General features: G+C 41.4%; 1 protein-coding gene and 1 pseudogene across 19 annotated transcripts in view; both read left to right on the top strand.

The window, feature by feature from the left end:
• The window catches only part of SCAPER (S-phase cyclin A associated protein in the ER), a 557,437-nt gene that overhangs the window by 509,908 nt on the left and 33,074 nt on the right, over nt 1–14,455 (top strand). For all 19 annotated transcript variants that reach the window (NR_148227.2, XM_017022273.2, XM_011521653.4 and 16 more), the window contains one exon: nt 13,818–14,055. Coding sequence is in view for 18 of the 19 variants with exons in the window: in XM_017022273.2 (XP_016877762.1) it covers nt 13,818–14,055 (238 nt within the window). In the remaining variant the exon portion in view is untranslated. The remainder of the gene's footprint in view (nt 1–13,817; nt 14,056–14,455) is intronic.
• Nucleotides 12,936–13,009, top strand: TRK-CTT16-1 (tRNA-Lys (anticodon CTT) 16-1; annotated as a pseudogene).

Genomic DNA, 14,455 nt, shown 5'->3' with positions numbered 1-14,455 from the left:
GAGAACAGTTTGGAAATTCCTACAAAAACTAAAAATAGAGCTACCATACAATCCAGCAATCCCACTGCTGGGTATATACCCAAAAGAAAGGAAATCAGTATATCAAAGAGATATCCACACTCCCATGTTTGTTGCAGCACTGTTCCCAATAGCCAAGATTTGAAAGCAGCCTAAGTGTCCATCAGGAGATGAATGGATATAGAAAATGTACTCATACACACAATGGAGTCCTATTCAGCCATAAAAAAGAATGAGATCCTCTCATTTGCAACAACATGGATGAAATTCGAGGTCATTGTGTTAAGTAAAATAAACTAGGCACAGAGAGATAAACATCACATGTTCTCACTTATTTGTGGGATCTAAAAATCAAAACAAACTCATGGAGATGGAGAGTAGAAGGATGGGTGCCACAGGCTGGGAAGGGTAGTGGGTGGGTGGGAGAGAGCTGGGGATGGTTAATGGGTACAAAAAAATAAAAGCGTTAGAATGAATAAGACTAAATATTTGATATCACAACAGGGTGACTATAGTCAGTAATAATTTAATTGTACATTTTAAAATAACTAAAAGAATATAATTGGATAGTTTGTAACACAAAGGATAAATGCTTGAGGAGACAGATAACCCCATTTTCCGTGATGTGATTATTACTCATTGCATGCTCGTATCAAAATATCTCAGGTATCCCATAAATATGTATACCTACTGTGTACCCACAAAAATTTTAAAAACATAAAATGAATTTTTAAAGCCTTTGAGCAAGGAAGTGACCTGCTAAGAACCATATTTGGGAGCACTGGTCAAGTGTCGTGTGAAGAATGTATTAGAAGGTGGAAAGTGCAAGGGGCATTAACAGTTGTCCAGGTAAGAGACGAAAGGAATGGAAAGAAGAATGTTTTGAAAAACCCTCCCATAGACACTCTTTTTGTGTATGGTATCACCAGTCTCTCAGGCATCAAGCTCCAAACCTCATCATCTCTAATCTCTCCTCCTGATACCCCAGATCTAATCTACTGCCACATTCTGTTGATTGAAAGGAAACTTAAAGTCCCCTATCTGGTCTTCCAGTCAGGTTTGAATCTTTTCAGTAAGCCTCTCTGTCTCTGTTGAACACCTCCAGTGACAGGAAATTCGTTACTTAACTAAGGGGAGCTTGAGTTGTTGTTGCTTAAACCATCTCTCCTTATACCAAGCTGAAATCTGTCTCCCTAGTGCTACCTATTAGTATAAGGCCTACTTGCTCCTTGGCAACATGCAGACTAATATGAACCTACTCTTCTTCCTGAACTCCCCTGGTCTCACGGTACCTCATATTTTCCTTTGCTTTTCTTCTTGTTACGGTTACAATAACTGCAACAAATTACCCTAAAATTTAGTGGCATAAAACAACCATCTATTAATCTCACAGATTCTGTGGGTCAGGAATTCTTTTAAGGTACGGAGAGGATGGGTTATCTTTGTTCCACAATGTCTGGGGCCTCAGAAGACTTGAAGGCTGGTGGTTGGAATCATCTGAGTGCTTATTCACACATCTGTGGTAGATGCTGGCTGTCAGCCAGGGGTCTTTCCATGTGGGGTCTCTGCATAGGCTTAATTGGCTTCCTCACAGCATGGTGGCTGTGTTCCAAGAACAAGCATCCTGGCAGTGAGAGAGCAGCTAGAAACCATATCACCTTTTATGACTCAGCCTCAGAAATCACACAGCATCACTTGCACTACATTCTATTCACCAAGGCAGTCATGAAGTTCCATCCAGCTTCAAAAAAAGGAGAAATAGACTTTGCCTCTTCCTGGGGAGGATGAAGGTTCTAGAAGAGCATAGGGGACCAGAAATGTTGCTGTGGTTATACTTGAAAAATATAGCCTGCTACTTTCCACCCTACCCTAAAGATAAATGAGTTCCCAGTCTCCTGTTCTCAGCTGCCTTCTATTCTCTCTGCAGTCTCTTATTTGATACTGTCAGCCCATTCCTAAATATTTTGTTGTCATTAGCTACTGTCTTTGGACAAAGGGTTTGTTGGTATTGGGAGATAGGCAATGAAGTGAATGTAACAGGACTAGGCAAGTGGAACTAAAAGAAGTAACATTTGTTAAGCACCTTTGATACACCCTGAGCTGAGTATTTCATGTGGGCTATCTCCCTACAAGCATTCAAGAGTCCTGCTCACGCTGTCAAAGGAGTTAAAACAGCCACTAGACTAATAAGGAGGAGTGACTGTCCTTATCCTTCAGATCTAGAGAATGGGAAGAATACAGAAGCAGGAACTTCTGGGGTGTCTCTGTACTCACAATGGCAAAGTGCTAATAGAGGGACTTCCGAAAGATCCATCCCAGCTGACATAAAGCCCTAGTTACTTGAAGGAATGGAAAGATGACAACTTCATTGGTACAGTTCACATGAGTGCTCACTATGTGCTAGGCAGAAAGGGAACTGGCTGGGCCCCAGCTCGTAGGGCCAAAGTTTAGGACAGTCTCCACTGACTTACCATTCTCACAGGGGACAAGGGATGATGGCCTCAACATGCAGGGTTTAGAGGAGCAGAATGTGTCCAGGATACATTTGCAGCCAGATTCTCACTGGCTCTAGGAGACTGAGAAGGCAGGATCTCAAGAGGAAAACTGTGTGTAATATTATGTTGAAGAGCAAAGGTTAGGAAGTCAGAAAGATGTGGGCTCAGTTTCAGCTTTCTCAGTTCTGTGACCTGTGGCAGCGTGCAGAAGAGTGATCACGGCTTACTGCAGCCTCAATCCTCCAGGCTCAATCTATCCTCCAACCTCAGCTTCCCAAGTAGCTGAGACTACAGGGATGCACTGCTGCGTTCCACTAATTCTCTGATTTTGCTTTGTGTGTGTGTGTGTGTAGACGAGCTCTCCCTATGTTGCCCAGGCTGGTGTCGAACTCCTGGGCTCAAGTGATCTTCCTGCATCAGCCTCCCAGAGTGTTGGGATTGCAGGCGTGAGCCACCATGCCTAGCCCTGGTTCTTTAGGTTTTCAAAGCCTGTTGTTCACATATGAAAATGAATGTGTTACTTCTTCCCTCACAGGGTTGGACATGACAGGAGTAAATGGGGGCTAACATCTGTCACTCTTACTTCTTGTCTAAGATGCTATTTTTTACATATTCTTGTATTCATTATAACACATTTTGTTCCAAAAACTTGAGATAGCTTATAGAAGTATATATATGTTATTTTTTTAATTAAAAATTAAAAGGAGATAGGCAGGAAAGGTAAATCAAGCCACAGCAAGTAAGGTTAAGGCCCAAACCATATTCATAACAAGGCCATGATAGACATTTCCTCCTGGAATTCCTACTGGCAATTTCTACCAGGAACTTATATTTAATATGTTAGATCCTGAGCTCATTGGCTTTCACCCAAAGTTGGCTGTCCCTCCTGACTGCCTTATTCTGCTCATGATTCCAGCAATCTGAGTAGATTTTAAGACCCAAAGCCTTAGTCATCTTTGACTTTTCTTTCCCAGAATCCAATCCAGTCCTATTTGATTCCATCAAAGGGATGTTTTCCTCTGAAATATGAGATGGAACATACCATTTATGCCACTTACTTGGTATTTGTCAACGTGCAGTTCATTATTTCTCTTTCCTTGTATACATGGTTTGTGTCTAGAGTTAAAAGTATTTACCTAGAGAAAGAAGCTAAATATCCTAGCAGCTTCCCGTCAGGCACATAGCACCTGAAACAAAACAAAATAAGAACTTGAGAAACAGCTGTTCATTGGTAGAGCTAGCAAATACTAGTGAACGATCATTGGCCTATGTCGGAATCCCATTTCCTGGGCCTATTCTATACATAAGAAGAAGGACTGCCCACATCTCATGTTCTTCTTTCTCTGAGTTAGGAAATAGGCATCCAAGGCCTTCATTCCTTTGGCATGCCTTGCTAAGATCAGTTCTCCCTTTCTTCCTTCTATTTCTTTGGCAAATATTTACTCATACCTATTTACTGAGTATGTGCTATGTCCCAGACCTTGTCAAGGTACTGGGGATCGATTGATGAACAAGATACCACTCTGATGAAATTTACAGTCTAATGGGGAAAAAACAATCAACCAATATACAAATAAGATTATTTTAGCTAGTGACATGAGAAAATAAAGCCTGGTAATATAGCCGAATGTCTTGGTCAAGGGCTTCTGCAGACGAAGTGGTCAGGAACGGCCTCTCTGGGGAGATGACAAGCTAAGACGGAACCAGGCATGTAAAGACCCAAGCAAAGGGTATTCTAGTTGAGAAGAATGGCAAGACCTTGAAGTGGATGTTCCAGAAACAGAGAAAGTGATATATTGGAATGTGAAGAGCCAGAAAGAAAGTGGTAGAAGTTGAAGTCAATAAGTAAAGGCCAGGAGATGAGGACAGAAAGGTGAGAAATCTGAATTCTGCTCTTAAGTGTGAGTGGAAGCCACTGGAGGATTTTAAACAGGAGAGTGGCTTAAAAAGTAAAAAAGCATCTGTTTACTCTGTGAAAAATGGATTAGAGAAGCAAGAGTGGAAGCCAGAAAGATCATTTAGGAGGGTACTGGAATCTTAATGCAGCACCTGATATGACAGTTTTTTCCTCCCAGTTACCCTCCCAGCAGAAGCAATTACCTTTACTTGGCAACACAACATAGCCTCTGGCAGAGCTCCTTCAGCCCAACTTCCAAACTGTAAAGAGAGCCCCAAAGTATCAACTAGCCAAACCAGTGTGTCAGCACAGGGTCCTTTGCTGTTTACAGTATGAGAAAACTGAAGCTAGAGAGGTCAAAAGTGTCCCATCTGAGAGGCAGTACTGGACAACAGCCCCAGCCTGCAGTTCCAAGATCTAGGAGCATATCTTGTTGTCAGTCACCCAGAGCTGCCTGCCTTCTCACCTCATAGGCTCCTCACTGCCCCTTCATCCATTCACCCTTCGTTTTCCTAAGATTGTCCTGAGCCTGTCACCTCTTTACTCTTCCACTTTGTTGTGTCTCCATTCAGACCTTTGCCAGGGTCCAGAGTTTCTTCTTCTTAGTGGCCTTGTCCTTTACCTTCCATTCTTATTGGTGTCCTCTGGTCTTGCTCTTTCTTCAGCCTCTTCCAGGTTGTTGATCCCAAACAGCAAGACTGTCCATTCCGTTTTCATCATCTGTTACTTCTCCTTTCAGGAAGGTTCCCTTCTCAAGAGTTCCTCTTTAGCCAGGCACAGTGGCTCACGGCTGCAATCCCAATACTTTGAGAGGTGAGGTAGGAGGATCACTTGAGGCTAGGAGTTTGAGACCACCCTGGGCAACATAGCAAGACCTCATCTTACAAAAAATTAAAAACTTAACCAGGTGTAGTAGCATATGCCTGTAGTCCCAGCTACTTGGGAGGCTGACATGGGAGGATTGCTTGAGCCTACGAGTTCAAGGTTACAGTGAGCTACAATTGTGCCACCACACTGCAGCCTGGGCAACAGAGCAAGACCCTGCCTCAAAAGAAAAAAAAAAGGTTCCTCTTTGAGTTCACCTGAAACTCATCATCAGGTAACTGGAAATTCTCCCAGGTATCTGAGCCTGTCCTACCTAATGTTCTCACTTTTTAATTTTCCCTTTATTTTTACTGTTCTTTTTCTTCTTTTTTTTTTTTTTTTTGAGACGGAGTCTTACTCTGTCGGCCAGGCTAGAGTGCAGTGGCGCATCTCCACTCCTGCAGCCTCCACCGCCTGGGTTCACGCCATTCTCCTGCCTTAGCCCCCCATGTAGCTGGGACTACAGGCGCCCGCCACCACGCCCAGCTAATTTTTTGTATTTCTTTTTTAGTAAAGATGGGGTTTCACCGTGTTAGCCAGGATGGTCTCGATCACCTGACCTCGTGATCTGCCCGCCTCGGCCTCCCAAAGTGCTGGGATTACAGGTGTGAGCCACCGCGCCCGGCCTTTTTTTTTTTTTTTTTTTTTTTTTTTTTTTGAGACGGAGTCTTGCTTTGTTTCCCAGGCTACAGTGCAGTAATGCAAACTCGGCTCACTGCAACCTCCACCTCCCGGGTTCAAAACATTCTCCTGCCTCAGCCTCCCTAGTAGCTGGGATTACAGGCACATGCCACCATGCCTGGCTAATTTTCGTATTTTTAGTAGAGACAGGGTTTCACCATGTTGGCCAGGCTGGTGTTGAACTCCTGACCTCAGGTGATCCGCCCACCTCAGCCTCCCAAAGTTCTGGGATTACAGGCATGAGCCACTATGCCTGGCCTATTTTTACTGTTCTCTAACCAAATGTCCTGACTGTCTTAGATTGCTTACACATACATACGTTCCACCTTGACTTTTCTTTTACCCTCAGCTCTCCATTAAGTCATCCCCATTTTCTTCAACAGAGCTCCAAATTAGATTTGCATTAAACAAGCTATTGTCCACATCTTACTATATAAATAACATAAAAGGTCAGAGAGGGAGGGTGTGCTGTATGTGTGTGTGTCTGTGACAGAGACTGACTGTAATTTTTTTTTTTTGAGATGGAGTCTCACTCTGTCGCCAGGCTAGAGTGCAGTGTCGTGATCTCAGCTCACTGCAACCTCCACCTCCTGGGTTCAAGCCATTCTCCTGCCTCAGCCTCCCGAGTAGCTGGGATTACAGGCGTGTGCCACCACACCCAGCTAATTTTTTTGTGTTTTTAGTAGAGACAGGGTTTCACCATGTTGGCCAGGATGGTCTCAATCTCCTGACCTCATGATCCGCCCACCTCAGCCTCCCAAAGTGTTGGGATTACAGACGTGAGCCACCACGCCCAGCCGACTGACTGTAATTTTCAAAGTAGATTTACATCTGTTGTAACATCCCAGAATTGAACAGAATCTTAGACATCATCCAGGCTCATGCCCAGCTGAGTCTTAAATGCCCTCTGCTACTACAGTGGATGTGACCTTCCACCTCTTCCAGGATGAAGAAGAAGTCATACCACACCAAACGGCCCACTTCACTTTTAGATGTTCTCATTATTAGAATTTTTTTTTTCAGAGATAGGATCTCACTGTGTTACCCAGGCTGGAGTGCAGTGAGGCGATGATAGCTCACTGCAGCCTTGAACTCCTAGGCTCCAGTGATGCTCCTGCCTCAGCCTCCTAAGCAGCTGGGACTATAGGCGTGTACCACCACACCTAGCCCTAGAAAATTTTCCATAGATTTATTTCATATATGCTTTCTAGTAACGTGTCTCCCGTGGGGTCATAAATAAATACTTCTTCAGTTTGAAGACAGCCTTTGTGTCCTTCAGTTCTGAGCTAAACTTCCCAATTCCTTCAAATATTCCTTGGGTGACATTATTTCCAGACACTTTTACCACAGGGATCACTTTACTTGGGAACTTTGATACCTCTGTGTGCTGAATTAGCGCTGCACCCAGTGCTGGACACAGTACTTCCAGAATAGTCATACAGTGCACTGGAGCAGAACTAAACCTTCCTTGTTGTGTACATTGTACTCCTGTTAGTCAAAATTGACTTATATTCTTTGGTGATCAAGCAGTGCTGTTTTCTCATTTGAACTGGTAGGCACCTAATTTGCTAAGTCTTTTTTCCCACTTATTGTTGACAAACTGTATTCCATTCCCTGTTACTTACCCTCTTCCCATCTTAAGCGTGTGGAATTAGTTTTTATGATCTAAAAATAAGACTTAAGTCATTTGTGTATATTTTCTCCTGTTTTTAGTCCTCATGTTTATTTGTAGGTAAACTTTGTTATTGATTACTTTCTCCTCCTTGAAGCTATCTTTGCTTTGCTTCTAGGGCACCATACTCTCCTGGTTTCCTTCTTACCCTACTGGTGACTATTTTTTAGTTTCCTTTGCTGGTTTCTTTTCATCTCTCCTGGTTCTAAACTTTGGGGTATCCCAAGGATCAATCCTCAGACTCTAGACTCACTAGAATAAGTTTCTAGTTTTAAATACCATCTCTGTGTTGATGGCTTCCAAATATCTCAAGCCGAGACTCCTCCTCTGAATTTGGGCTTGTGTATTTATTCAGCCATTCAACACATATGTATTGAATAGCTACTGTATATGAGACACTGTTCTAAGCCCTGGAGATATACCTGTGAAACAAAAGAGACAAAAATCCCTATGCTTGGGAAGCTTATTTCACACAACTTCCAATCCACTGTCTCCACTGTGATGTATAATAGGCATCTCACATTTAACCAGTTCAAAACTGAATTCCTGGTTTTCCTCCTGAGACATGCGCTCTTCACTTTCTTCCCCATTTCTGTAAATGGCAACCACAGTCTTCCAGTTACTCAAGCAAAGAGCATTGAGCCATTTTTCACTCCTCTTTCTCACACCCACATCCAATTTATCAGGAAATCTGTTGGCTTGCCCGTCTGAATATTTTCAGAATCCAATCACTTCCCACATCCATGGCTACCATCCTGATTCATATACCATTATTTCTCACTTGGATGATTAAAGCAGCCTCCTAGTTGGTCTTCCTGCTTCTGCCTTGGCTGTTCTAAAGAGTTTTCAACCCAGTAGCTGTAGTGCTCATTGTTCAAATGAAGTCAGAGTATATCACTTCTGTGCTCAAAACCTTACAATGGCTTCCCATGTCACTCAGTAAAAGTTTTATAATGGTTTCCAAGACTCTACCTGATCTTCTCTGCTCCCTCCCTGACCTCATGTCCTATTACTCTTCCACTTACTCAACCCGCTCTAGCCACACTGGCCTTCTTGCTGTTTGTTGAACTTGTCATGCACGCTCCTGGCTCCAAGCCTTGGGATCTTCTGCTCTTTTACCTGAAACACCCTTCCCCCAGGTGTCCACATGGCTTTCTTCCTCACTTTCTGTAGAATTTTGCTTAAATAATGCCTTAGAAATGGCTTCCCCAACCACCCTATGTAAAGTAGCTTCACACACATTCCTACTTCTTCATTTCCTAGCCATGTCCCTTGCTCCTCTGTCACACCATACGTTACATATTATATATTTGTTCGTTTATATCTTCCTGCACTAAAATGTAAGCTTTATGAGAAAAAGGTCATAGATTTTACTGCTGAACTCCAGGTCCTAGAATAGGGCTTGCCACATAGTTGGCCATCAGTGAATATTTGTTGAATGAATGAATCATGAATGACTAGGTTCTCTGGAGTAGGCATAATAAAGTTCCTACAATAGTATCTATATTTGAATCTCCAGAACCTGTGAATATTACCTTGCTTGGCTTAAGGGATCTTGCAGATACAATTAAGTTAAGGATCTTGAGATGGTGAGATTATTCTGGATAATTCAGGGTAATCACAATGTAATTACAAGGGTCCTTATAAATAAAGACGGGAGGCAAGAAAGTCAGCGTTAGAAAGAGATTTGAAGATGCTCTGTTGCTGGCTTTGAAGCTGCAATAAGGGGCCATAAGCCAAGGAATTCAGGCATATTCTAGAAGGTGGAAAAGCCAAGGAAACAGATTCTTCCCTGGATCCTCCAAAAGGAACACAGCTCTTGTGACACCTTGATTTTAGCCTAGTGAGATCTGTTTTGAATTTCTGGCTTTCAGAACTGTAAAATATTAAATGTTTTATTGTTTGAGCCACTAGCCTGTGGTAATTATTCCAGCAGCAATAGGAAACTGATACACCCACCAGCCCCTATTAGACTGTAATGCCTCTAGAACAGGGGCTTGGTCTTCCTTAACCTTGCACATCACAGGTGCTCAGAGTTCCCAGAGCACAGGTACTTTGGCTTTTTAGACAGAATACCTGACAGAACATCATGCCTGTTTGTGCTCACCTTAAACCCTGATGAATGATGTTGTCACTGGATACAGTTTGGCTTTCTCAGAATATCCCAGGACATAATATCCAAAAACTGGGATACTGCTGAGAAATAATTTACCTCTCCTTGAACAGTAAAATTCTCATCCATCATTGGGGGAGACAATGACTTAGTCTCACCCACTCCAACACTATGCAGATCTTTGAGTGCAGGTCTGTGGGTTTAAGGGCTAAAATGGGATGTTCTCACAAGATCCCTCAGGGATTCCAAAATGAAGCCAAACTCCAAGAAGCTAAGAGAACAATCTAGAAGATCACCTGCACTGAAGATCAGAGTGGATGTTACCAAGCTGGAAATCTGGGGACCATGGAAATCAGGGCAAACAAACAGAAGAAAAGGGATTATAGAGTCTGGAACTGTCACAGCTGCTTTTTTAGGCCAACTAAGGCCCAGTGTATAAGTGGTTTATGAAGATGGAATGGATGGCACTTCATGCCCACACAAATCATGCTGTTTTTGCCCAGCTGTACTCTCCTTTAAGGTAAAGTAGGTTTGTCAGGCATTGTGCAGTATTGATGAAAAACCAATTTTAGTTTTTCCTAATTGAATCTAGCTTTTGATAAACAGAAATGAATATCTCACTAAGATCTCTAGTCCTGGAGACCTAACAAAAACACCTTAAAATCTGGTAAAATTACAAATATCTCAGAATGTACTATACAAAATTTCAGATCTTATTTTTCACATCTTCTATGTATTTTTTGAAGAAAACTTCATTACACATGCCTGATATGAATAAGGCCTTTTACTTTTTTCTTATAAACATTTAGGCTTAAAGTGATTATAACTGACAGTTAAGACCAACAGAAGCCAGTGGCCTGTTCATGGACAAATTATCTGTACTTCAAGCTAAATCAAAAGTAAACATTCTCTATGGTCCCTTCATGTCTACATTAGTCCTGTGGAAGCCAAATGGGACAGTCAAACCCTCCCCTTGCCCCCATATATTCTGTGGGCTCTCTTCAACATGAATGGTCTTTTCCATGAAGCACTATCTTATGCATTTTGAACCATTTCCACATCTAAGTTCTTAAATGCTTATTTAGCAGATTTTCCTCAATTACCGTTTTCATTTCATTAGGATAATATTTGCAAAAGACTGGGCTGTATTGTTTTATAATCCATCAGATGAGTGTTTTCCTAAATAATGGTGCAGGAGAGGAGATGTTCTGATAACCTTCACTTTTTTTAAAAAAAAGATTTTTTACACATATTCTTCGGAAGAGGAAATAGCAGTGAATTCTTGTCACTTAATAAATGCTAGAAAGACTAAGTATTATAAGATGTTTTAAGTGAAAAAGCTATATTCCTGAATATCTGTATTAGAATATGCTGATAATCAGTTTAAAAGCAACACAAGAGTAAAGGGAAAGTCACCATTCTGAATCACAGAGCAGTAAAACTGTTGTCACCAGCAGTGATGTCACTCATCCTCAAGGTTCTGAAAACCTATTAGAAATTAGCTTTAGGGAGAAATATCTTCTGACTTGTCACTGGTTCTAAAAGGCAATCAGTGTTAAACAAACACAGGCCCCTTTTTGGAACCTATATAATAAACTCAGACACATTAATCTCTACTCACGTCTCTAGTCAGGGTCTGACCCCTAACTCTTTTGGCTTTAATGGAAGGAAGTAAGGGCCAGCTGACATTAGCTAACAGAAGTTTGTGTAAAGGTTCAGATATACCTATAAGCAAATAAATATCATTTCTTAAACTTTTGTTTTTATTGAGTACTATGAGACAAAAATATCTCCCCTCGACAATACAAGATTGCATTATAGTCTCTGTATATCTTAACAGTATTTACTTAATCACAAAATTTGACTTAGAAGAAGACATTGAGAGAAAAGAGGAGGTCAGCCTCCGTTTGACCTGGATATTTTGGTCCATGGACAAAGCACTGACCCTAAACAGTCAAAAGCCCTGGGTGATATCCCTGCTTTTGCCACTAAAAATTTGTATGACCTAAAACACTTCACCTTATTTCTCTAGGTCTCACTTGCTTCATGTGCACAATGACAGGATGAATAACTTCTCTACCAACTATGAAAACCCAGTAAGAATGAGATAAGGTGAAAGATATGAATGTACTTGGCAGATCCTGCCATATAAATAAGATGACAGTATTTCATAAGAGAGCTTCTTTCTTGAGTAGAGAACAAGGTATATGAAGATGTCATATCATTTGGCTGTATTCTTAGAAATACTAGAAATAGTGCACATTCAAGAAATGAATGTGTACCGTGGTTATGAATAAAACTGCTTTGATGCAGCTAGCAAAGTAAAATGAATAAAATGATTTCTTTGGAAAAACTAAGTTATGAATTGAGAAAACTAGACAAGATACTAGAAATTTGCCAGTCAGCACCTCTCAATTCTTGTTTAATTAGTGACACCTCTTGAGTGCTTCTAGGAAAGATAATGAAGTAAGCATAGTTCTTCAAGGACTGTCTCCCATCCTGGGTTCCAGCTGAAAGAATGACAAATGACAACCTATATATATGTGTATATATGTATATATATGTGTGTGTAGGTGTGTGTGTGTGTATTTACACACACACACACACCTATACACACACTAACCCAGATTTTTAACACTAACTCGTAGTGTTAAAAAGTAGGGAAAGGTATTATGCCATGACAGAAACATAAAAGCACTCCTGCTCAGTATTGTGTAGATCATGCCAAATTAAAGGAAAACATTGAGTAGAAACTTATAACTTGCCTTCCTGAGAAAAATCAGAGTGTCATGAAGAAAGAGCAATAAGATACCTGAGGTTTTGTGCAGTGATTACAAGTGGCTATAGCAACTCCAGACCTTACATCTAGAGGAAAAAGTGATGACTTCTTCCCAAGCGTCTCAGCAAAAGTATCTCCCTCTACCCCATTAGCTCTGATTGTGACGTGTGGCATCCCTGAGTGATGCTCAACAGCCAGAGAAATGTGTGGCTTACCTTAGGCCTGGGCACCCTTGAGCCAAAGTAAATGGGGAGGGAGGTCTATGTGAAGCATATTGGCTATGAGTTAAGGAGAGGTGATTCCTTAGAAATCTTTGTACAGTTTCTGTTTAAAAGGGTGAATGCTTGGCAGCCATGTTTACTATAACTGCCTGCTCTTGGCCTCTAGATGCTTCACATATACCTTAATTCAGAATTGCCTGGCTACCTCAGTTGGTAGAGCATGGGACTCTTAATCCCAGAGTCAGTGGGTTCAAGCCTCACATTGAGTGGTTCTACTTTTTTTTTTTAACACCTGTGAAAAGAAGGGAAAAATTAAAAAAAAAAAATAAAAGAAAAAAATAAAAAATACCTTAGTTCAAGGATGAGGTAGATTTAGCATACCCCTGCTGCTTTACTATTGATTTTAGGAATTCATTTGCCACTGCCATTGTCTCTTCTTGCTCTTCTGTAACATTACCTGCCATGGTAGCTAAGCTGACTTCATCTGATTTGTGTAGACCTAATCCAGTACTTGCTTATTCTTGGGACTGTGGCTTCTACAACCTGTCCTGCCTGTACTCCTCAATGTTGGAAAAGGGGCTTCAATAGCAGCTGAAGAATCTCCCTACCACAGTATACCAACACATTACTGGGTTTTTGAGGCCTCATGCTTTCCCTAATAGCTGCCTTCCCTAAGAAGAGTGCCTTTATATATCCAGAAAGGAAGCTAGGAGTGTTTTTGGCCTCTGAGTCCCAAAAGCTTTCACAGACTCTGTCAACTTTGCCCAGACCCAGGATACTAAACAAAGTGAGGTTATGTAGGCTATAAAGTGTGGGAAGGGTGGTTGGCAGCCTCAGCACTGGCTGCAGAGTGCTCAGTTGACACTGCTGCAGCAGCCTGGTCTTCCAGGAGAAGAAAAAGCCACAGTGCAGTTGGTGGGGAGGGCTGCATTTATTCCTTGAAGTTTCTTGTTACCATACTATACAACTCAGATGGTTTGTTTTTAACGGTCTGCTTGTCTTGTTTCATTTAACCTATACAAATTGCTAACATCCATTAAGTAGTTTTTCTCAAAGAACTGAATGTTTCTTTGTCAGGTCATACAGCATATTTGACAATAATCGCCAGGATCCCACAGGGCTGACAGCTGCTCTTCAGGCAACCGACCTGGCTGGAGTTCTTCATATGCTCTACTGTGTCCTCTTCCATGGCACCATCTTGGACCCCAGCACTGCCAGTCCCAAGGAGAATTACACTCAAAATACCATCCAAGTGGCCATTCAGAGTTTACGTTTCTTCAACAGCTTTGCAGCTCTTCATCTGCCTGCTTTTCAGGTACCAAGTATTGGTTTATATCGATGTTAACCAATCAAGAGTTAGTATTTTAGTGTAGATAGGATGTCAGATTCTTCTCCTGAATTGGGGCATAAGGAATAAACTACAATAAATGGAATTATAATATATATTATAATTTATTAAACTACTATTTTCTGGGAACTGTATTAGATGCTCTATAACATCTAGCATTCTCATTTATTCTCATAGCTACCATGCAAAGTATTATTATACCCATTTTACAGATAGAGAAGCTGACAGTTAAGTAATGTGCCCAAGGTTACATGTTTGTGAACCAGGACTAGTAACCATGACTCTCCCACCCCAAAGCCTATGTTCATCCTTTGCCATGCTGCTATTTATAAATCTTTTGTCTGGAATTCTTTATATCAGGACATTA

The sequence above is a fragment of the Homo sapiens genome, chromosome 15 (genome assembly GCF_000001405.40).
Source record: "Homo sapiens chromosome 15, GRCh38.p14 Primary Assembly".
NCBI classification, from domain to species: Eukaryota; Metazoa; Chordata; class Mammalia; order Primates; family Hominidae; genus Homo; species Homo sapiens.
The sequence above is the reverse complement of the archived record's forward strand: the minus strand, read 5'-3'. Positions and strand labels throughout refer to the sequence as shown.